Below are 24103 nucleotides of genomic sequence, written 5' to 3' on the forward strand. Positions count from 1 at the left end.
GACAAGTCCTGTCTGAGTACCACACCAGGAATTGTCAGGGCAGTGAATCCTAACTGAGACTCCAGTTGAGACCCCAGGGTGCCAAGAGCTTATAGTTCAGCAGAAGAGAGAATCTTACACTATTGAACATTCTTCAGGACAAATTTTTTTTTTTTTTTGAGACAAAGTTTCACTCTTGTCGCCCAGGCTGGAGTGCAATTGCGTAATCTTGGCTCACCACAACCTCCGCCTCCCGGGTTCAAGTGATTCTCCTGCCTCAGCCTCCCAAGTAGCTGGGATTACAGACGCCGACCACCATGCCAGGCTAATTTTGTATTTTTAGTAGACACGGGGGTTTCACCGTGTTGGCCAGGATGGTCTCGAACTCCTGACCTCAGGTGATCCGCCCGCCTCAGCCACCCAAAGTGCTGGGATTACAGACGTGAGCCACCGCGCCCGCCCAGACAGAAATTTTTTAAAGGGAGGAGGCTTCTTGGAGGAAGTGTTGCCTGCATCACATCCCAAAGGATAAGGAGGAGATAGCTAATTGAAGTGGCTGCAAAGCACTTGCTGCAGAAGCGCATGAGCACGGCGGGCCTGCAGCACAGTGCATCCCCCTGCATGCCTGGAACAAAAGGTTTCTGTGCGTGGAGGGCTGGGGACTCAGGGGAGAGGTTGGCAGAGGTGGATGCTGAAGGGCTACTTTCACCAGAGGTAAGGGAGACCCAGGGAAAACTTACAGGCCCTGAAATAAGTCATGCTAGTGGGGGTAGAGAAAACAGAACTCTGAGAGAGATATTTGCATTTTATAATTATTGATCGGGTGAAACAGGATGGAGGGAATTTGTTTTTTTTCATTATGGGGGACAGGGGCAAGGATGGGGAATCCAGGTTTCTGGTTGGGACAGCTGAGGCATCTACAGGTCTGAGGGAGACAGAACCACCAGAGTGATGCTGTCATCCAGGGAGAGGGTGTAGCCTGAGCAGAGCCTGAGATCGAATTATATAAGATACCCTGAAATTTAAGGGGCAAACTGAAAGGAAGGAGTACCAAGAGGCAGGAAAACTTCCTTCCAATGGGGTACCTTCTCCCCCTACTCTGCTAATCTCAATGCCATCTGAGCTGAAAGTCCCACCTCCTCTGCAAGCACCTGTGGCCCCAAGACCAGGCCTCCTCCTGGGTCCTCGCCTTTTCTTCTGCCTGCTCTGTTGCTGATCATCTCAGGTGTGGCGTCTTGTCCCCCAGCATCACTCACAGGCACCGTCCAGGTCCACGTTACCTCCGTGCCCGCTGCGGCACATTGAAGGTGCTCAGGAGATGACTGTGGGTGACGGGCTTGCCGGCAAAAAGAGGGAAGTGTCAGAAACCAGCAAATGCCAGACTCCTCCTAAGCACTCCTCTTTCCCCACCACCCGGAATCAGCCATGCTGCCAGAACCCACACACCTCCACCCCTGTTCCAGCCTCTCCTTCCTCCAGAAGCCACAGCTTCTGCCTCCCAAATCCAGAGGCCTTGCGCAAGTGGTCAGGAGGAAACGTGGCGGACCACCCTCCCACCTTCTCTCCATTTCAGGGAGTTGTGGGACTGGAGCCACACAGGATCCTACCAAATAAACATCTCAACAGGGCGTGGACCAAGCAGGAAGAACCACTCAGCCCGGAGTCAGATCCTGATCTCCCTAACCACTTACTATCTCACTGTGTGACCTTGAGCCAGTCATTTCACCTCTCAAAGCCTCCATTTTTGCAGCGTGTCCTAATGAAGATGAAATGAGAATTCCCTCAAACGCCTGAACATTATGCCTGGCACCTAGTGAAGCATTCAGTAAATGGTAGCTACAATTATTAAAGAGCTTCCGGGCATGCCGACGCAATTTAGAGCAAACTAAAATAACTTTGACAGCCCCCAGTGAAACACCTTCCCTCCCTGCCCCTCCTCCGCCGCTACCACCCTAGAGTTAATTAGAACCCTCCTTGGGTGTTTTCTAGAGATGAGATTTTGCACTTATTCTGGGTTACAGAACTACGATGTAAGCAAGTTTCAGTTCAATGATAAAAAGCAAAAAGCGACCAGGCGTGGTGGCTCACACCTGTAATCCCAACACTTTGGGAAAGGCCGAGGCGGGTGGATCACCTAAGGTCAGGAGTTCAAGACCAGCCTGGCCAACGTGATGAAACCCCATCTCTGTTAAAAATACAAAAAATTAGCCGGGTGTGGTAGTGTGTTCCTGTAATCCCAGTTACTCAGGAGGCTGAGGCAGCAAAATTGCCTGAACCCGGGAGGCAGAGGCTGCAGTGAGCCGAGATCACTGCACTCTAGCCTGGGCGACAAAGCGAGATTCCATCTCAAAAAAAACAAAAAAAAGCAAAAGCTACTTTTAGAGGTAGTAAGCTCCCTATCACATGTAAACAAGTTGGCCAGGATGACCACTTGGCATTAATGCCCTGGAGCATAAATCAGCAATCAACATGTATTAATATTTCTTGCTAACCAATTGTACTGTCATTCCCTTTAATGAAGTGGTGGCGCCAGTAGGCTGTAGCGCTTTTGGTCATTTTTTGGCAAAATAGAAAGTTGGCTGTCCTACATTGGCCTTCCAAAAAGCTTTCATGAAATTGTACAGGCTTATGATATTCAAATCTTAACCCCCACTTCAAAAGGACCCCCTTCCTGGATATAAGGTTCAAAACCCCTTACATAGACACCTGCACAGCCGTTTGTTTGGTACCCAATTTAGACCATCTCTTGTGCAAGATTTCCCAAATCTAAAACATGGCTCAGATCACGGTTCAGCAGCGAACCAAGGCAGGCTGATGCAAAGACAGCACTGAAGAGGCATTTTGACTGCAAGTGCCACCAGAGCTAGGCTGGGGAAGGGGACTAGTGAACTGTCACTTAAGTCCCAGCAGACAAGGGACGATATTGCAGAGTGGAACTTGTACTCTGTGACTTCTGTGGCCCAGGACAGTATTTGGGAGGGCGCCAGGAGGTGGCCTAGTCCCTCTGAACACCACTGACATTCAACCCCCACCTTCATCACCCTTCCAGGGTCTCAGCCCCCAGGAAACTTCTCCTGGAATCCAGTCTAGCAGGGGTACAGTAGGCTTAGGATTTAATACCAAGTGAGGAGTTGGCAAGAACCAGATGGACCCAGGTTCTTGGGGCTAAACTTCTCCATCCATCCATCCTCTAATCCTGTCTCCTTCCCATTACCCTAGATGTAATTCCCTGTCCTCAATTCTACAAGCTTTGAATTATCACCCACAGAGCTCCTGTAGGTTGTCTCCCATTACAAATTCAAGACACAAGAAGGAGGGATGTCTGGGTGGCTGCAGGTCTTTCCAGCACTCTTGAAGACCAGGGCTGTTCTAGATGTCTCTTTTGTGGCCCACGTCTCCCATCCTCCAAGCACTGGGCTGGGAAGACGCCAACTCAACTGAATTTGGATGAATACTCACTCCTCCCCACTCCCTCCAAGCAGCAGAAGAAAAAGGAGTTGGAGGACAACATGAAATCAAGTGTACATTTTAAAAATCGTTTAATGGAACATAAACTCCTTTAGAAAAACATTCAGCTAGGTGATAACACCCATAGAAAAAAACACCAATCTTGTGTTTATCTTTTTTAATTTGGCATTTGTTATTTGCATTTATATTAAAGCAAAGTGCATCTTTTCTTTATTTTTCTTGTTTATACACATTGCACAATACATAAATAATGATGCTTATAAAACGTCTTTATATTTACAAGTAATAATATATTTATATATAACATAAAATACATTTTTTTCTTTAATAAATCTCAGGTTTTTTTTCAGGAGTCCTTTCTCTCTCAAAGCACTACAATGCTAAATTTCCAATGAGAATGCTTCTCTTGTTCATTTAAACCTTTGTAGTTAGAAAAATAGCTTATGTTAAAGTCTAAACATGCTCATTGAGCTAAGAACAGTGTCGAAGTATCATACGAGTGTATGAGTTGTAGAAGAAATGAAAGAAGAGTTAGGTGTCAGCCTAGGATGGTACCTTGGGTTATGACGGACCAAATCCTTCTTGGAGGGAAGGGGACTGCTAAGCATGTCCCTCCCAGGGACATCCCCGCTTGCTGGCCTAATAGCAGAGCTTAACACACAGGATGGGAGCAGGCAGTGCTGAGCTGGTTTTCTAAGTCCGGGAAAAACCTGATGTCACCAGGGCAGGCAGGGGAGAGGCTGAGGGGAGAGGGCACTGGGTGAGCAATACTGTGAGGGGGCTGCCCCGGCAGCCCTTGGGAAGCCCATCTCAGGGAGATCCAGGAGCAGATGGCCAAAAAAGAAAGACGCTACAATGGCAGGGGCTGGCAGGAAGGGAATAAGACAAGGATGAAAATAATTGGTTCTGGTTCGGCCACTAGCAGGCTCGCTGCTCAGAAGCCTGTGGACAGGCCCGTGTCCTTGATGAGGGAGAGGAGGGGCAGGGGCTTTCCCAGGCTGGGGACAGAGCCGTGCTCCTGGCAGCTGCTGGGACCCCAGCCGCCAGCTTGCCCAGGTACTGCCTCTGCCCCACTGAGCGTGTCCAAGGGGCAGGAGAGACACCGCTTGGGACTGCAAACCTCTCTGCTGGGGACATCCATAAGAGACACAAAACAAAGAGCACGTTGTCTCCCCATCTGCCGCTCCTGCACACGCGTGCACACACAGCCGCACACTCACACTCACACACACTCCTGACAAGTGAAATGATGACCGCCCCCCTTCATACACTGTGTTTGGTGGTGCTTGGATTTCTGCTTCCCCTCTTCCTATCAGGGTGTCCTGCCGATCATACCTGCCCCTTCTTCCAAAAAAACCCCCAACAATTCTTTTCATAAGCTATTTCTCAAAGAGCGAAACAAAACAGAACACAAACGAGGACGAGAAGAAGAAAACCAACCAACAAACAAAAAAAAAACGACCAAAGAGTTTGCATGAAAAGCAAGCACTCAGGAGGAAAATATTAGCAGCAAAGTAGTTTGAAGTGTGGCCTGCTCAGCTCACGCTCTGTCCCCTCCGCACGCGGCTACCGGCTGTTGAAGATGACCTCTAGCCAGCACGGGCAGCTGCTGATGAACTGGCGGGTGTAGCACTGGCCCCAGCCCTTCACAAAGCTGATCTGCACGGTAAAGCCCGTCCACGGCTGCTGCATAAACTCGTGGTCATTGGGCCGCTGCAGGCTGTACGCCTTCTCGTAGTCGAAAGCCTTGATGGAGAAACCGGGGAACACCTTGTGTACCAACAGCGTCCTGGAGTCCGGGTTGTCCAGTGTGGCGGACTTGATGAAGATGGGGTAACTGCTGCGGTTGTACACCCACACACCATCCACCTCCCGCGTCAGCTGGATGCCGCAGCCGATTTTGCTCCGCACCTTCTGCACCAGCTGACTCTTGTTGTCCGAATTGAGCTGTCCGAGGCAAAAGCCATTCCCCTGAGGTAGATCATAGAAGATATCCAGAGAGGGCTCCTGGACACAGTAGAGCCTCCCCACTCTCGTCTTCTCCTCCCAGTATGCCACCACGCACCAGTGTGACCGATCCCCAGGCTCCAGAAGAAGTTGGGAATCTAGAAAACACATTGGCAGAGAGGGTTAGTGGGGACAGGCATTGGTGACTCCTAGAATGAAGACACCCGCCCCCCCACTGCACCCAGTCACCAGCTCATCTCTCAGGACGAGACAGAAAGAAGGAGGCGGTGAGGCTAGTCCTGGACTTGCCCAGGCTCTTACAGCCCTTTGACCAGGACCCTGCCTTTCTTTAAGCATAGGAAGCGCTGGGTGCTGCTTCTCTCCAGGCCCCTGCCCATCAGGAGTCCAGTACACCAGCATCTGTGCCCACCTGGCCAACAAAGCCTCTTCTCTGCAGAGCACAGATGCAAAGGGACCCTTAATAGCTTGGGTAGTCTGCTTTTAGGGCCTCAAAAAGCCTCAGCAACGTCCTGGAGTTACAGATCTTTCAACTGGATGGAACCTTGAAGGCCAGCTCCTCCAGCCCCTTGTCATCCTGATGAGAAAACCAGGACCCAGAAAGCCTGCTGCTGGAGTACCAGGGGATGACACAGCCAGAGCTAGAACCCAGGTGTCTAGACTCTGGGACCACCTATGCGATGGTCTCTGGGTGCCTGTCACCCAGCTCTCAAATCAGTGCCGTGGTCATGAGGAACCTATCTGGTAAAAATAAAAATGAGGGTGGCTTGGGACAAAAACATCTATATTCCTAATAGGAAAACAGTCTCAGTGTGTCAGCAGCAGCCCTGTACACAAAGGGTGAATTCATGTCAAAATGCCAAATCACAACATGCAGACCGGTATTAACCCGGGCTACCTTAACAAAGCTTCCTCCAGCCCAGACAGAAGATTATGTGTCTCAAATAGATGCGTCCCCCTTCTCCCCTTCTCTGCCGGCACCCCCATCCCCAGGGGTGCCCCCTCTCTCCCCTCCTTCCACAGAAGCATCTGGAGCCTGCAGGGCGCCCTGCTCCGCCCTCATCCCTCCCCTGCAGGCCCCGCCCCGCTTCCCTACACAGTCTTCCCACAGGCAGCCTGGGGGCCGGGGTGATTCTGGTAAGGTAATTTTCCTCAACAGGCACTTGGAGGACTTTAAAAGGGGGGTCACACGGAGGGAAAGGGAGCCCCGGCGGCGGGCATTCTGACTCCTCCTTAAGTAGGAGCCAGCGGGCAGGCCTCAGACTTGGGACCATAAATCTCCCCAGCCCAGCCAGACTGCAGGAACGCTGTGGTTTGTGGCAGCAGGGTGGAGACCGGAAGTCTTGTATTTGTTAACAAAAATGGGGACAGCAGAGGGGGAAAAGCAGAGGGGAAGGGCCCCACGTCGGTCAGGGCCTTGCCCTCGCTCCCTGCAGCCCCAGCTCCTCCTCTTGGGGACCTGGGGGGCACAAAGCAGGGGTTGAGTGTGAGATGTGTTTTGGTGTGGCCTTTGTGTTTCTGGAGTAACTGGGTTCAGAGTCAATGATGATGGGTTGCACCCTGCAGGGGGTCCATGGCGGAAGATGGGGCCGCATCCTGCTGCCCCAGCAGGCTGGGTAACTGGGGCAGCCCAGGACACTAACTGGCTCCAACTTTTACAGGCGTGTTAGGACCTGGGAACCCACTGGCTCCACTCAGTTGTTGTTGTTGTTGTTGTTGTTTTAAGTAGCAGCCAGTGTTGGATGGAGGTGCCCGTCAGTAAGGCCATACAAATGTGCACACTGCGGCCTGCTGGGGCAGCCACAGACACACACACCCAGAGCAGCGGTTCCCTACAGACACCCCAAGCTGGCCTTCCCAAATGCCTGCCCCAAAAGCTCCACAAAAAGGGGACACTGAGGTCTCATTCCTTTCCCTCAACCCCCAACCCCCACTAAAAATCAACACCAGAAAACTGGCCGGTCACCACCCCCCATGTAGCTTGGAAGTCCAGTGCTTGTGCATGTGCGTGTGCAAGACTGTGTCCATGATGTCAGTGTGTACGAGTGTGTGTTATGTGTGTTTCTGTGTGCACATACGTACTGGAACATATGGAAAACAAGACAGGGACAGGGAGAAGGTGACTCATCAGGCATTCACTTGTTTCTGCAAAGTATCCATCAACTGCTAATAAACTTGTGAGCGCTGGCAATCTTTGAACTTTCTTGCTGAGGGAACTCAGCTCTGAAGGCTACACCAAAGACCTGAACGCCCAGGGAAGGAAGGACACATTGGCATCAAGTGTGAAGCGGGGGAGAAAGCCCTCTTCCGGGAGGCACAGCACATCCACCCTTTTGGTGTGGAGGAGGGTGTTCTGAAACACAAGAAGCTTTTGCTTATTTTCCCAATTCGGGACAACAAACCTGGCCTGGAAAGGAAGACTCGAGGAGCTGCTGGGAAGGAGGCGGGAGGGAGGGTGGGTGGGAGACCCTCAGCAGAGCCTCACAATGCTTTGTTTCATGCAGCCAGGACCCACTGAAACCTGGCACCGGCCAACAGGAGGAGGAGGAGGAGGAGCAAGGGAGTGAGTGGAGTATGGACCTGAGATCGAGGTGCCCCCATGCCAGGCCTGTCAGCCACCTAGGCAAGGGGTGGAAGCCTTGTCTGCCAAGGGTGGGGGCCTCTGGGGGCAGAGGAAGCTGGGTGGGGACTGGAGCCTGAGATCTGTAGCAGGACGGGGAAGTGTCAGGTGGGTTTCTGTTTCATCTGTGCAGCCCGCCAGCAATGTGCTGCCAGACACCCCCTGGAAAAAGCATTTTTCTGCTGAGGTTAATGGCCCAGCCCAGAAAAACTGCAATGCATGGATGTCGTGAATGCTGCTGTGTGTGAACAAGGGCCCTGAAGTCCATTTGGTGCCCTAACCCACCGCAGGGAGACTCCTGCCTGCTCCTCCCTCGCTGTCCCCTCCAGCTCCCCCACCAGCAGCCTCTGTCCTCCCGTTAGGACAGCTCCAGTCTCCTCCTGCCGGGACTATCTCTAAGCACACACAAAAAACAAGCTTTCCAGCAAAACCATTCGGCAACAGCAAAGGCCCCTCGAACACACACCCTTGTGTGGACATCACACCTTCTGGGGACCCCGCACGACATCCCCCATTGCCACTACAGAGATTCCCCTTTGCCCTGAATTCCCCGCCATTTGGGCTCATTTCTGGGAAATGCTCAGCTTCATCTTCACAGAAACACAGTTCCCTGAATCGGGCCCACAGCCCACACGAGTCTCCCCACAAAGGTCTGTGTGGACGCTTTGCTCCCAGGGACTTCCCGGGCCACGTGTCGAGGGGCTGGGAAGTTCAGTCAGTACAAGGACTAAGGAAGAGCCTTGGCCTCTCGCTGATAGTTAACCTCTGAAGGCAAAACTCACAGTCCTTTGTTAATTTCCCTCAGCTTTATAACCTTTTCCGGTATTTTCCACAAACTTCTCCCCCTCCCCAGAAAACTGTACAGGGGCTTGTTTTAAAACAGTATGTGTTCATTTTAAAGCATCCAAAAGAAAAGCTGTGTTGTAAAAAGCTCACTAATCAGATGCCTGCTCACAGTTGTATCTTTTTATTACAGTGTGGGGAATTTTTGGAGCAACACCAGAAAAATGCTGAATCTGCCTAAAATTCCTTTAAGGTGTTGCCCCCCCCCAACCTTCCCCATTTCCCTTAAAGCATAAAATCCTCCCTTTAAAGGGAAGGGGGAGGTGGGTGTTGAGAAAGGAGAGGACTTCAGCCTGTGTTTGCGCTCCAACTGGGGAAGACCACTTAGCAAGGAGCTCCCTGACTCTTACAAAGAGTTATTTAATTACCCTGCTCATGAATGAACAGACCAGACCCTTCCAGGAGACCAGAGGCTCGTGAATGAACCTCACACCCCAGGTCTCAATGGCACAGGGTGACCAGGCCTCAAGGCCACATTTTAGGTTAAGCAAGGAATTTTCCCCTTCTTAAATGTTTTTCTTTTTTTTTTTTGAGATGGAGTCTCGCTCTGTCGCCCAGGCTGGAGTGCAGTGGCACAATCTCGGCTCACTGCAAGCTCCGCCTCCCGGGTTCACGCCATTCTCCTGCCTCAGCCTCCCGAGTAGCTGGGACTACAGGCACCCGCCACCACGCCTGGCTAATTTTTTGTATTTTTAGTAGAGACAGGGTTTCACCGTGTTAGCCAGGATGGTCTCGATCTCCTGACCTCGTGATCCGCCAGCCTCAGCCTCCCAAAGTGCTGGGATTATAGGCGTGAGCCGCCGCACCCAGACCCCTTCTTAAATTTTTAATTTGAAGGCGTCAGGAGATGAGAAAGAAGAAAAATGGGAGGAGGGGGGAAAGGCCTTGCTCAGTGCCTCAACAATACCATTCTCCACCTGAAGGCAGAGGGCAGAGAGGCAGAGCAGCTCCAAGAACAGCCATGGGGTTATGAGAACACGGGCACGCGTGGAAGAGAAGCTATCTGGGCCTGACTGGGCCCAGACACACAAAGAACGTACTTGTGGGGAGGGGGTCCCCCAAGATTCCATTTAGGAACAAGGGCAAGCTTGGGGAAAAAAGCCAGTAAAGACATGAGCTCCATCAGCTGATGACCCACGGTTAAATGTGCCCAATTGCTAGGGTACCGGGAGCTGGGGTCAAAGGCGAGTGAGGACGGGTCTCCACCGGCTCTCATCTCTGTGAGGCACTTGGATAATGAAGTGATATTCCTCTGCCAAAGTCCAACAGGGCCACGGGCCTATCAGCCCCCTCCTCCATGGTCCAGCAGAGCAGAAGGCTGAGGACGGAGAAGTTGGGGAGGAAGGGCGCCTGGGCAGGCACGGCCGCCTCCTGCAGGCTCCCTGTGCCAATCAGGGGCAAATGAAGGGCAGAAATGTGGACACAGACAGCTTGCACCTGGCAACCTGGGAGCGCAAACATCACCACGCCTCGCTAACGCCAGGTCCAGGGTCCTCCCTCCTCAGGACCCAGGCGCCACCAACGGTTGCCTCATCCTGTCTCTCCCTCCACAACGGACATCTCAAAGGTTAACAGCACCCATCCCCTGCTCCCAACCCTGTCAGGAAATTGGCTGTTCTGATATCAACAAGCCCTCTTCAGGGACAAGCCTAAGATAAAAGGGGACTCCAGTGCCAATCCATCCCATCTATTCTCACGCCAAACCATCATAATTCACAAGGACCCTTGCTGGTCTCTTGTTTTCAATAGGCGAATCCCTCCCCCAAATAGAGACGCGTAAAACTTGCTGAGATATCTGGGCTAACTTTAAGGGGCTGTCTCTAATCCACCATGCTCACAGCCTCATCCAAAAGAGGAAATAGGACCCCAGAGCTCCCTCAGACTCCTCAGGAAACACAGACAATGCTGGGGTTTAGAGTGAGTTCCTCATGGAGGAAACAAACCAAAATGTTTCAGGTAAACTGCGAGTTAATCAGAAAACACTGGGGCCCAACCCATCTCCACCACCCCATGCTCTCTCCCCAAACAGATCAGACGATGAATCCTGGCTGGTGGAAGGCTGACCTGAGAACACTGGATTTTTTTTTTTTCATGCTTTGCAGCATCTCCAGTGAAGTGAGATGGCTGGACTTGGGGGTGGGCAGGGGGTGCCACAGGGTCTCCTTCAAAGGCCAGGCTGCTCTCTGGTTCCCGGGCCCAGCAGGCTTCGTTTCCACCCCTTAGCGCATTCTAGCCATGGCAGAACCCCCGCCCCTGTGCCAACCCCAGAGGTGAGCCGACCAGCTACAAAGCCAGATATGCATTTCACACCAACCTCGCATGCAGCCTCCCGGTAAGTTCAGCTCATCCCTAAAACAGGGTTCCCCCAAGGCCAGCCTCATAAGGTTGCTGTACCAATTTGATGCAAAAGTGATTGGGGCCAGCTTGTGGAGAGTGCTGCACACACGTTGGTCTCATCTCTGAGGCTCCTGGGTTCTCCAGCCGCTCAGAAAATGCCCACCAGTCTTCCTGATTGTCTCCACATCCCCACACCCCATGGTAGAACAGTTCTGGGCCAATGCCTACACTTAATAAGCATTTACTTTGCATAGGCTGTGTTCTCTAAGTGGCTCATGACAACCCTCTGAGGCTGCATACTATCACCAGCCTATCTTAAAAAAAGGGAGTAGTAGGGGTGAGGCACAAGTCACTGGCCGAAGTGCAGAGCTGCAATTCAAGCCCAGAATATTGCCTGGTGTGAGCTGTGGACACAGGCCTCTAAAGCCACCAAGCCCACTGTTCCTCTCCAAAGTGTCCTTCAGAACACACTTTGGAAATGCTGCACCAGCTTTTAGAGCTGCGCATGGGGTGCAACTCCCCTGCAGCAAGAAGTGGGGGGTGATACGGCTTTTTTGCCAGCAAGCTGCTCTGTGACCTTGGCCAAGTGGCTTGCCCTCTCAGGGTCTCAGTTTGACCTGTCCATAAATAATGTAAAGGGGACAAGGGAAGATGGCCCCATGGGCCCCCTTCTGCCTTCATGGTCTCTGGCTGGACTCTGATTCTCAGTATTAAACAACACTGGTTCCATTTATTTTTACTACCTTCCAGAGAGTAAGAAAACCACTTTGAGGAGCAGGGTACATTTTTGCATTTAATTTGCAACAATAAAACAAAATAAAATCAAAAGGGAAAGGAGGTTTGAGTCAGGTTTTGCTGTGTCCATCTCTAAACCAACTTTTTTTTTTCTTTAATTTCAGAGTCAGAAATGACTTTTTACTCTGTCTTACTATTCATCACCCTCAAGAGACGGTGAGCCCCCAAGAGAGGATCTCTTTTATCACTGTCATCCGTCCACTGTCTGCCCAGGCTTGGTTCCCTGAAGTTTCTCCTCCCATCACCGCCCTCCTTGCCACCTCTCCCAAGCCTACATATTTCGCAGATCCTGCTGGTCTAGAACACTAATTAGTGACTGTGTCCTTACAAATTATGTTAAATAATCAATTCCTAGAACTAAAATGTACTCCCTGGCTCCCCAAACTGGTCCCACACCACCTCCCAAAACCCCCCAAGCATCTGAGTCTGAAGCCCCCAACCTGGGGATGAATGCTCCTAAGAGCATTTATCTCGCCATGGAGAATGTAATTGAGGGTGGCACGGGGCAGGGGAGGAAAGCCACACAAATCAAAAGCTCTTGTCTGTCTCGCCAGTCAGGCTGACGCGGCTTCCTGTGCCCCAGCATTCAGCCATGCAAATTACAGCGTGTACCCAGCTGCCTGCAGCCACTGCTGTCTGAGGAGGCCCACTCTGCCCAGGCTCCTCTGAGAGAGGCCTCAGAGGAAGGGTGGGGACTCCCGACCCAGCCAACTCCATTCATAATATTGACAGTAAAGGGCCTCTCTGGCTGCTGTTTAGTGTGCATGCAGTCGAATCATTTCTCGAGTTCAAATTTCCAGATACTTCCCCTCCATGGTACACCAACCAGGTTCCCACTGTTACCCCCCAAGTAACTCAGAGCAGCTCTCTTCAGAAAGGGGGTTCACATATTAGCAGGCACAGAAGCCCTCAGCCCTGCATGGCATTGTCTGCTCAGCTGCCTTCCCTCTGGGCATGACCCTGGCACCCCCAGGAAGACACAAGGGCTGGGACAAGCATGGAACAGAAAGTCTGTCGTGTCCAAGAGAAACTACCAAGTCAAGTCTCTTACCTCACCCACCTACCCACCTGCCACCCTGAGAGTGTAGGAGATTCCCCAAATTCCCTATCTGGATTCCCAACTGGGCAGCTGGCACTGAATGCTGATTCATTCTCTCTCTCTCTCTCTCAATCTCTTTCTCTCTTTCTCTCTCTCTCTCTCTCTCACTCACACACACACACACACACACACACGTTAAAGCATCATGAAAATCTTAATACAAACCACTGCATCATTAAGCCAATTTTCCAAAAGGACAAAACCCCTAGAAGGACAGGACAGTTTTTCCCTGGTTTTGCAGGTGGTGGGGGGGCTCTGTGTGTGCAAGAAACCAAGCTACTTTTGCTGTGGGCCTCGTTTTAATAAAGCCCCAGGCTACCAGGACCCCTAGTCCTTGGAAGGCATCACAGGACCCAAAGGCAGACCCTTCTCCCACCCTATCCCCCACAGATCCAACTCCACTCCAGTTTCTAGAGGGTAGGAAAACTGTCCGAAGACATGGAAAAATACAGTGAGAAACAAAAGTCCTTTTCATTCCTCCCCTCCCCCGGCTCCCCTTGTTCCATAACAATTATGAAAACTGTTGGATGGGATGGCATTTTGAACATTTACTGCATTCCGGCCAATAAATTCCAATGCAGGATCCGATGGAAAAGCTCCTTCTTCTCCTGCGAGCTCCCTCCCTGGCCCCCCTCCCCGTGCACTCCCAGCCCTCATTCCATCTCTCACTTTACAACCCAATACCAGGGCCTGGCCAGGCCAGGGCCGCACTGTACTTAGAGGGAAAAACAACAGTACGACAGCCTGGAGACAGCGTGCAGACTGGAAAAGTTAATCATTACTTCTGTCTGCCTCCGTAATCTAATCTCTCCCGCTTGGACACACTCACTGTTCAGCCATCCCAGCCCTTTCACCCCTAAAGCACCCAGGACCTCCCAGACCCAAGCCCCCACTCCCTCTGGCGGGTCCTCCCACTCCTAACCTCCAGTTAGGAGGTCAAGGGAATAAAAGAAGAATGAAAGGGTCCCCCACCCAGAAGCTGCTGTCACAAGGCCCTGGAGTCCAACATACACGGCCAGCTGCTCTGTGCTGGGTGCCCCACCTTTCAGAGCCTCCAGGCCTCCCATAAACATGGGCTCCCATAAATGTGAGCTCCAATCTGGCTGGTGACTGCAGCAGCCCAGCACTGCCCCTCCCCCACCGCGCAGGGACAGACTGTCCCCTCCCCGCTTTCTCACTCCCTCTGCCCCAGGATTCGCCCTCAAGCCCACCCCGGTGGGTAGGGCTCCCCCACCGCATGCGATCGGTGTGTGCCGACACATGAGGCACAAGTCAAGGAGGCCCTACCGTTGGCGATGCCTTAAAAAATTAAACACAGAATGACAGTGTAATTTAGCAATTCCACCTCTGGGTATATACCCAGAAGAACTGAAAGCGGCGACTCCAGTGGTATTTGCACATCCATGTTCACAGCAGCATTATTCACAATAGCCAAAAGGTAGAAGCAAGCCAAGTGTCCATCAAGCAATAAATCAACCAGACATGGAATATTCATACAATAAAATATTATTCAGCCTTAAAAAAGAAGGAAATTCTGACATACGCTAGAGTATGGATGAACCCTGAGGGCATTATGTTAAGTGAAATAAGCCGATCACAAAAGGACAAACACTGTCTGATTCCACTATTCTATGAAGTACCTAGAGGAGGAGGCAAATTCATAGACAGAAAGAATGGTGGGTGCCAAGTGCTGGGGGAGGGGAGAAGGGAAGTTAGTGTTTCATGGGAACAAAGTTTCAGCTAGGGAAGATGAAAAAGTTCTGGATGTGGACGGTGGGGATAATAGCACAATATGAATGTACTTAATGCCACAGAACTATACACTTAAAAATTGTTAATATGGTATATTTTATGTATATTTTACCACAATAAAAGAAAAAGGCCTCAGCTCTCTTAAGGCTCTCCTTTGCACCCCCATAACTAGTCCTCATAAGCATAGATTTCCTGAACTGGGGATTCCACGGGTGGGACTGGGCTTCAGCAAAGATATCGGCCCCCTGCAGATGTATACAAATTGTGGTATAGCATGCATTTTTCTGAACAGAGTCCTCAGCTTTCACCCATACTTGGAAGAGTTTGCGAGCCAAGAGACAGAAAGAACTACAACCTTTTTATTTTAAAATGGAAGCAGTCTTTGGCTTCCATAGGGATATCTCATCAATAGGGGGATCATTCCCACACCCCTCAAATCCAAGAGACAAAGATCACAGATCACCGAAGGGACTTGGCAGCCAAGCCCAAGCCCTTATTTTGCAGATGAGAAAACTGAGGCCCAGAACACAGAAATGGCTCCTGCAAGGCCATGTGGCCAGCCAGGGGCTGAGACACTCGGCCTCAACCCAGGAGAGCAGGCCAGCCTCTAGTGACAGGAAAGTGGAGGATGCTGGCCCCGACATTGTAATTCTCTCCCAGCCCCCTCCTGGGACTAGGGCATCCTGGACACCCTGGGGGGAAGGTGGGGGGGCTTCTGAGTTTTTGCAGGCCCCACGATCCTGGGCTCTTCCCCAGAAAACAGCCCCCCCAGCAGGGTTTTGATTGTGCCCCCACTGAGCAGGAGATGGGGCCCATCTATTTGTAAGAACGGTATGGTGCACTCAGATCACACTGATAACTAACTTTTTAATTTTCCCTCTTGGTTACTGATTCATGAGGGGGTGGGGCAGGGCTGGCTCAGAGGCTGCAGTGAGGCTGACAAGGTCCCCAGGCCCAGCTCTTGATGATCCTCACTTAGCCTGCAGGGGAAGGAGACACTTAACAGCTTCATGAGGTGACTGGAAGGTGGGACAGGGGACAGGGACAATCATTTAACCTCCGAGTGAGCCACCCCAGAAAATGCAGACAGCTAATCTGCCAACGGCACAGTCATATCTTGGCGTCTTATTGTTTTTGTTCCTGTTGAGTGACAGTCGCAGATCAAAACGTAAGAAAGCAATACTGAAATGAGCACACAGTCGCTGGCCTGGTTATCTGAGTTGTCTTCTGGCTGAAAGAAAGTCCCGACTTTGCAAGATGAAATTGGAATTGAGACCAGATCTTCCCTTTCTGCTCTGATCAAACCCCCCAGCAAAAGCAGCTCTCCCCGCCTTTTCTTCCTGGTGGGGCTTCACGGAGGAGCGAGAAGAGTAATTCAATTAGTGAACTCCACAGAGCTTGGAAGCCATCGGTTGGCCCCGGGGGAACAGACAGAGAAGGATGAATGTGAAAAGGAAACACCCTGGTAACTGCATCTTAGATTATTTCATCCAAACCCAACCCCAGACAGGCCAGGGCCTCACACACAGGGCTGACACCTCAGAAACGGGCTTAACCCTCAGATTTAAAATTAAAAAGCAAGAATTTCCTTCATCCCCCAGATGGTCTTCGTTGCGAATCAAGTCCTCTGGAGTTACAAAGGGAAAGTCACTCCTGGGCTTTGAAAACATCCCACTTCTCCTCTGGCTGTCAAGACATTAGATACTGTCTTTCCAGATGTTTCCCCACCCCTTGGCCGTGGTCCACTGAGGAGCCTGGCGCTAGGCTGGTCACTTCCACTCTGTGCTGTGCCCCAGGTACTACCAGGGTCTGGAGGGTGGATTATAACCACAGCTCCTGTTCTTCCTGCTGTCATCTTACAATCAGCAAGAAGCGGGGTGGGGAGGCGGGCTGGAACCAAAACCCGGGAGACCTACCTCTGTTTATCCACAAGCTTTGCTTTATCTCAATTCTCAACAGACCACACAACCAAAGCAGAAGTAGAAGTGGATGACTCAAGAGCTAGGCCCATCCCAGGGGGCCCACCCTGCACCTCCCCCACCTATGGCCTGGCTTCATGGAGGGACCAGGCTCCTCTGTCCTACAGAAGCTGCCCCTGCCTGCCTCCAGGTAGAGGCAACTCCTAGTCAATCCCCCCTCCCGCCGGCTCCATCCCCATGGATTCAACATCACCTTCGGACAAGCCATTCCAACTGCCAATTCTTAATTCTAACCCAGCCCAGGAACTGGTCCTCTGCACAGCACACAGCCTGGCACATAATAGGTGTCAATACATATTTGCTCCATAAACAAACCACAGGGACACACTGGCTTCTTCCAAAGCAGCGGGCCCACCTAGCTTCACACCCGGCAGAGGGAGGCACATGTGAACCCACCTGAGAGGGGAGCACACCTTCCAAGCACGGAGTCAGCCAGAAGGACCAAGTCCCTCTCCTGGACTCCCCACGGAGGACACAAGAGGGAAGCCCTGTTCTGCGCTAGGTCACACTCAGCCGCCGCGGCATATGCCACTGAGAGGTGTTTCCAAGGCCGGCGCCGGCCCACCAACCTCTGTGGGCACACCACCTGCCCACAGCATTCTGCTTTGGCGTCCTGCTCTGTTTGGACAAGTTGCCCTCACCAAGTGTTCAACAATGCTTTTACACACCCCAGGGCCCTTGTTGTGTTATGAAAACAAAACAAAGCACGCTAAGGAAAAAGCTGGGAGGGTGGGGGTGAGCGTGAGTGGAGAGCGGGCCAGCCACACACACAGGTCTCTTTCTTTCTGGTCTCTGTCCTAAAGACGGCTCCTTGGCAGCACGGGCCGGGGCACTGTCCCATGCCCTGTGTCATTAGAACAATGACATCAACAAAGAGGGGATTTAGAAACCCAGAGACAAAAAATGGAACTGGACCTTATCTGCACCACTGTAGGGCTGTGATAAGCCCCCTCTCTGGGAGATGCTTCTAGGTGAACCATATCACTCCTTCCTCCAAAGCACAGCACCGTTACTGGACACAGCTGTACCAGGGCAGCTCCGAGACCCATTTCCCCTCCACTCCTCACTAGCACCCTAGAAATAGTCTCAGGAAAGTTACAGAACTCCTGCAGGATGAGGGGGACACGGTGGCTTGAAAACACGAAGGCAGCCCTGAGTTCCCGGCGGCTAAGTGCCAGGTGCCTCTGTTAGGGGAAGGCAGTACCGGGGGTGGGTAAAAAGGCTAAAGGCGTGAGTAAATTCTTACGTACCCCCCATCAAAAAAAAAAATACAATCTTTTTTTTGCAAGTTAAAACTGAGCTAATGACACTGGGTGGGGCTCAGTGTTGAGGACTCCCCAGCCAAACCAAAATTAGCTTCCAGCCAAGAGCTGCTTGGCCTTACCATTTGGGGAAGGAAGCTGAAAAAGTCATGAAAGATTCTTTAGTAAAATGGGAAATAAGGCGGCAGTTAACATTTCAACTGAAGGTGACCCTTCTGGTAAAATATTTTTTTAAATAATAAAAATAACATAAAGTTCTCAAACAGCCTCTTTCTTAAAGAAAATGGCCTACATGTTCTCGTGGGAGTGGAAGGGAAGAAAAAAAAAACACAAAACAGAAAACAGGCTAGCCGTTTCTCAGCCACTACCTTTCACGAACCACTTTTCTCTGGAGTTATTCTCAAAAAAAAAGATGATGCAATTTCCTGTCTTGTCCCAATATTTCCTGTTAACTTACAAGGTGAAAGTTATCACCCTGTTTTAAATAACTGTCCTCAACACCGCTGAAAGTCCCTTTTCCCAGCCAGTGCCCACCCCTATCAAAAAATGTCCCCATCTTAGAGTATAAATACGATCATTTTCTACACCTTTTAAGAGTTGGCTTCGTAAGAAGCCTGGTTCTCTCTCTAGCAGATACTGAATCCACGGGGCACCTTCCACGGGAGTGGAAGCCCACATCTCCCAGGTGAACCCACAGAGAGAAACAGAGAGGCTGGGGGGCAGCCGAGTCCCCCAAGTGAGCCAACAGGTTTAGGTAGAGTGGCCGGGATCAGGTGAGTGTTGCTTTCTTGGTGTGTTAACCACTAAATTGAGAACTGTGCCTCAGCAGTTAATAATATCTTCCCGCTGAAAATAGCCCGGAGAGGAAGCCTCTGTGTGACAGTAGGCAGGCAGCCAGGCTTGGGGCTAGCCATTCAATACCGAGCGAGAGGTGGTAGGGCCAGTGGTGACCTCCCTGTGGCTGTGCTTACAGTATCCTTTCACGAGGCTCCCGCAAAGGGAGGGTGCCCGGGCCAGTCACCTACGGCCACTGCAGCCCTAGAACTTGGGCAAGGACATCACAGGGACTGGGGTCTCCAGGGGCCCAGGAAGGGTCTGGATCACCAGCTTTTGGAGCCAACCCTGGCACCATCCTGGTTCGCAGTCACTGGGATGGGCAGGCCAGGGGGACCCCGCAGAGTGAGAACAAGCATATTCACTTCCCCCAGCAGAAAAGTCAGGCCGGGAATCAAACCAGAGGGAACTTTCCTGTCTCTCATTTCTGGAACCCACGAAGAAAAAAGGAAGGTCGAAGGATCAGCACAGATGTGTCTGCTTGCTCAGGTAACACACAGCAGAAGGCCAGGCGTGGTGGTACACGCCTATAATCCCAGCACTTTGGGAGGCTAAGTCGGGAGGATCACTTGAGGTTAGGAGTTCGAGACCAGTCTGGCCAACATGGTGAAACGCCCTTTCTACTAGAAAAAAATTAGCCAGGCATGGTGTGGCACGCCTGTAATCCCAGCTGCTAGGGATACTGACGCATGAGAATGGCTTGAACCCAGGAGGTGGAGGTTGTAGTGAGCCGAGATCACGCCACTGCCCTCCAGCCAGGGTGACAGAGTGAGACTCCATCTCAAAACACACACACACACACACACACACACACACACACACACACCACACACACACACACGAGATCCCAGGCAGGCTACCAGCCTTGCTCCCTGGTCCATCAATGTACTTCCCATGTGACCTCAGGGCTGCCACCAAAACAAGTGTCTACCATCATCAGGTCCTAGGCAACTAACAGAAGTCTCTCCAATTTTACTCTCCACAATCACTGTTCCTTATAGATTATCCAAGTATCTACATGTATTTAAAACCTACCGCTGGCCATTTTTTGGTCAAACTTGTGGTAAAATACACATAACTTAAAATGTGCCACCAATGGCATTGAATACATTCGGTGAACTGTGCAACCATCACCACTCTACAGTTCCAGAACATTTTCATCGTCCCAAAAGGAAACCCGGTCCCATGGGTCCCTTTTACAATCCCATTCATGACAGCAAAGCAAAACAGTGGACCATGTATAGTTAATAATAGTTTTCTCTCAAATGTCTCTACAAAGAAGCAAGAAAGTTATCTGGGAAGCTGAATCCCGAGGGATTTTAGTGTGCGAGCAAGTCCAGGAACCAGCACTTTACACCTTTTTTTTCTTCTGCCAGGTGAAGACAACTGCTTTGAGAGTGCTGCTCCGAGTTCAAGGCCTGGACCGAAGGAAGTAAAGACCAGCCTGGCCATCATAATTCTGCAAGGAATTATGACACAGTAACAACAATAATAAAGGAGCAAAGAGGCCGGGCGCAGTGGCTCATGCCTGGAATCCCAGCACTTTGGGAGGCCAAGGCGGGCGGATCACCTGAGGTCAGGAGTTCAAGACCAGCCTGACCAACATGGCAAAACCCTCTCTCTACAAAAAAGTACACAAATTAGCCGGGCGTGGTGGTGCACGCCTGCAATCCAACTACTCAGAGGCTGAGGCAGGAGAGTCCCTTGAATCCAGGAGGCAGAGGTTGCAGTGACTCGAGATCCTGCCATTGCACTCCAGCCTGGGCGACAGAGCAAAACTCCATCTCGAATTAAAAAAAAAAAAAATTAAAACATTAAAAAATTTTAAAAAGAAGCAAAGGAAGCCAAACTTGATCATGAATTCTTCGGCATTTCCTCCCTTTTCACTGCTCCACCGGCTCTGAGCTTGCCACGGAGGTCCCATAGGTGTACAAGTCTACGCAGCTACAGTCAGGCTTTGCTAAGTAAAGGCATGTGTGTGTGTGTGTGTGTGTGTGTGTGTGTGTGTGTGTGTGTAGGAAGTGAGGGGCAATCAGCATGCTACAGTGTCACCAAAAGTGACACCACCCAAAGCCTGGCCTTCACCTGGCCCTCTCCCTTTGCTGGCCCAGTTCAGCCTGGGGACAGGATGCGTGAGGCGGCAGCAGACCATCTTGTCTGGCCGGCAGAGCAGCCCAAATTTGCTCCAGAGATTTTAAATGCTGTCACCCTGTATTTAACCCCTGCCGGACTGCCTCATTCTTTCCAGGACAAAAGGGGTTTTATCAGTAAGCCCTTCTCCAGGGGGAAGTGCATGACCTGGGGCACTGCAGAAGAGGCGGGGTCCAGGACTGGTCTTCACCAGGGTGTGGGTGTGCACCAGGTGAGCCCGCCCCAGCCCTGACTCATCCTGTTGGCAGGTGTTTAAGGAGAGGCAGAAGGTGTCCCCTGAGTTCTAGGCCGTCATTTCTCACAGTGGCCTGCAGGGTACTAAGGGGATGGGAAGGAAGGAGCTTGCTCATGGTCACAAGCACCTGTCCACCTGAGTCCCCCAAAGTCCACGCTCATGAGCATTTGGATGAAAGGCCCACATGCCTGTGAGCTCAACCTGTGCCCCCTGCCCTCACTCCACAATGGCATTAGAGACCTCAGTGAAACCATGAGCTGTTTTGTAGCCAGGCAGGGGGAGGTGACTTAATTTAAAAGCAGAGCAACAGGCGCCCAGGCCCAGGTTCCCAGTTCATGATCACAATTCCAAGCCAGACAATGAATAATTGTTCACGTGCAGCTGATTAACTTTCCTTAAAACAGGATGGAGCAATGTTTCCTAAGCTACTTGGTTTGAGCCCAAGTCAACTGTGGACTGAGCCAGGGGTGCATTTTCAGATTATATAGGTATTTTTGAAGGCTCTCCTCTGAGACTATGACAGATGCCAGCAAGGATCAAAGAGAAGGAGACAGAAACATCCTTGGATGCTGAATGGATACTGACTCAAGGACGCTCCCATCCCCCAGACTTGGGGACTAGTAGCCACATATGAATCTCAAGCAAAGAGTTGGCCACCCTTGGGTTGGAGGCATGGTGCCGGGTCTCTCCAACAAGCATGACTTCGCACAGCCAAGAGATGGAGTTTCCCAGGACACGTGAGCACTTCTGTCTCCACTGCCTCCTACCTCCCTCCTTGAGATCCATGGGAGCACTTCTTTTGAAGTTTAAATAACTACAAGTGGTTGCTGGCTTCCAATCCCTACCCTAACTGGGCAGGTCCATATGGCTGAGGCCCAGCCAGCTCCAGACATTCATATATAAAGGAGGAGGCTAGAAGATGAGTCTGCAGCTGAATAACCTACAACTCACAAGGGAGATGCTGCTCCCTCAACCCACTCAAACCAGGACAGCAGACAGGCAAAATGAAAGCCCCCAGACAGAAACTCCAGATGGAGGCTGCAAAGATGATAGCTTCCAACACATGCTCTGCATTCCCAGTGATCCCCGGAAAGCTCTGGGAGCAAATCCTTTCCATCTCCACGACGGAGCTGAGCCTAGAGGCTTCCCAGCTACATCAGACCTCTCCCAGGTGATCTTCCTGAGCCATGACACATCCATGTCCAAGCAGCAGCAAGGACCTGTTCTGGAGTTGCATGCCTTTCAAAAGACACCCATCCCAGAGAGTCAGGCACAGACTGCCAAATCACAAAGCAGAATCAATCCACAAACTCCACCCCACAAGTCCACAACCTCTTGGAGAGGCCGCCCTGACATCAACCCACCCCAGCGACAGGGACCCACCCTATCCCAGAGCCTGCCTGTGGGCATCCGCACGCTCTCATGTGTTTGCGCACGGGATTGTCTATCTGTACGTCTGCGGCAAAACCCACCCACCCACACACCCACCCCCACAACACACACACACGCATACACACACAAGCTTGCACCCAGCAATCCATCTGTCTCAGAGAGCCAGCTGTCAAAAATGAAAGTACAATCTCCTGGAAGCAAGTCACTGCCTTCTAAAAATGTCCCATTTTCCCAGACCGAGGAAACTTGCAAGGGTGGGGTGTGTTTCACTGCAAGTCCCTAACGACCAGGCCTGTCGTCTACCCACCCCCCCACACCCCCCCAAAACAAAGCTGCAATGCTGGAATTCCAACCTGCAGCCAGCAGCCCCGCCCCCGGGCTCCTACCCGCCCACTCCCCTTCCTCCCGGGCAGTTTGCAAGGGCGCAGGAAAGGGAAGGGCCAGCCTTGGAGTCACCCCTGCATTTCAGGAGAGGACCGGCCTTTGAGCACACCCCACCCCCACCTCCGAGGCACCACATTTTCACATTCGGCTGTTTTTTCTTTCCCTTCTTCCCTTGCCAAGAGAATCAAGCCCTGGCTCCTGCTGCCGACCTTCCTCCCACCCTAAACTGAGCCCCATTCATTAAGCCCGCTCTCAGCCAGGGCAGGACAGGAAGGAAAACAGCACACAGGGCCTGTGAAAGAGGCTCAGAGAGGTTATTTCAAGGAGGAGGAGGGAGAAACTCCTCAGTTTTCACTGCTCCCCACCTTGCTGCCAGGCTCCCACCCCCCAACCTCAGTGTCTGCTATGCCCCTTCCCCCATCCAGCCCTGCCACATCCAGTCACTGGCCTCATCCACAGCAAGGCAGACACACCCAGGCCACCCCCCATGGAACGATCAACTTCTTGAAAAGGAGGAGGTTTGGGCTTTCTCCATTTACAAAACTCTCTGCCCTGGACAGGGGCCAATAAAGTTCCCTTTTGGAAGGCATTCTCGCTACAAAGAGGACAGCCCTAGGTTTTCTCCGTGCCCATCACCTCCCCTCCAGACGCCCCCAAGCCGGTGACATCAACCCCCAAAACAGTGTACCCTCCCCACCATGGCCCATTATGAATACACTGCACCAACTCTGAACGGAAAGAAGAAGGAGCTCAAACTTTGAAGCCTTTGGAATTAGTAAATCAAGAGCTGAAATTCAAAACAAATGCTCTTGCCATGTGGAAGGCCCCCTCTTCTCTCTGCAGTCTTCTGAAGCCACACTGCCCTTCAGAGAGTCACTGCTTCTTCCTGGCAGCTCCTTATTAATATCTGTGTCTACAATTACCTGGAGGGGTGAGGGGAAGGAGTTAATGATTGTTTTACCCCCAGTTTCTTTCTAGGACTGGAAGAGCTTTGGGGAAAAAAAGCCC

General features: G+C 51.5%; 1 protein-coding gene across 5 annotated transcripts in view, besides 6 other annotated features; it reads right to left on the reverse strand.

The window, feature by feature from the left end:
- Nucleotides 3495-24103, reverse strand: part of SMAD7 (SMAD family member 7) — a 31113-nt gene continuing 10504 nt past the window's right edge. For all 5 annotated transcript variants that reach the window (NM_001190821.2, NM_005904.4, XM_047437509.1 and 2 more), the window contains one exon: nucleotides 3495-5552. In NM_001190821.2, the coding sequence (NP_001177750.1) occupies nucleotides 5014-5552 (539 nt within the window). In that variant the 3' untranslated portion in view covers nucleotides 3495-5013. The remainder of the gene's footprint in view (nucleotides 5553-24103) is intronic.
- Nucleotides 6681-7612: an enhancer, noted in NCBI's record as "H3K4me1 hESC enhancer chr18:46449409-46450340 (GRCh37/hg19 assembly coordinates)". NCBI's record gives its function as "activates a minimal SCP1, AML or CMV promoter by ChIP-STARR-seq in naive H9 embryonic stem cells {active_cell/tissue: H9 hESC(naive)}" and the evidence as "EXISTENCE:reporter gene assay evidence [ECO:0000049][PMID:30033119]".
- Nucleotides 9677-10638: an enhancer, noted in NCBI's record as "H3K4me1 hESC enhancer chr18:46452405-46453366 (GRCh37/hg19 assembly coordinates)". NCBI's record gives its function as "activates a minimal SCP1, AML or CMV promoter by ChIP-STARR-seq in naive H9 embryonic stem cells {active_cell/tissue: H9 hESC(naive)}" and the evidence as "EXISTENCE:reporter gene assay evidence [ECO:0000049][PMID:30033119]".
- Nucleotides 12878-13047: an enhancer, noted in NCBI's record as "active region_13304". NCBI's record gives its function as "activates an Ori minimal core promoter by ATAC-STARR-seq in GM12878 lymphoblastoid cells {active_cell/tissue: GM12878}" and the evidence as "EXISTENCE:reporter gene assay evidence [ECO:0000049][PMID:35858748]".
- Nucleotides 16085-16234: an enhancer, noted in NCBI's record as "active region_13305". NCBI's record gives its function as "activates an Ori minimal core promoter by ATAC-STARR-seq in GM12878 lymphoblastoid cells {active_cell/tissue: GM12878}" and the evidence as "EXISTENCE:reporter gene assay evidence [ECO:0000049][PMID:35858748]".
- Nucleotides 16493-17378: an enhancer, noted in NCBI's record as "H3K27ac-H3K4me1 hESC enhancer chr18:46459221-46460106 (GRCh37/hg19 assembly coordinates)". NCBI's record gives its function as "activates a minimal SCP1, AML or CMV promoter by ChIP-STARR-seq in primed H9 embryonic stem cells {active_cell/tissue: H9 hESC(primed)}" and the evidence as "EXISTENCE:reporter gene assay evidence [ECO:0000049][PMID:30033119]".
- Nucleotides 18820-18889: an enhancer, noted in NCBI's record as "active region_13306". NCBI's record gives its function as "activates an Ori minimal core promoter by ATAC-STARR-seq in GM12878 lymphoblastoid cells {active_cell/tissue: GM12878}" and the evidence as "EXISTENCE:reporter gene assay evidence [ECO:0000049][PMID:35858748]".

Source organism: Homo sapiens, chromosome 18 (genome assembly GCF_000001405.40).
Source record: "Homo sapiens chromosome 18, GRCh38.p14 Primary Assembly".
Classification (NCBI taxonomy): Eukaryota; Metazoa; Chordata; class Mammalia; order Primates; family Hominidae; genus Homo; species Homo sapiens.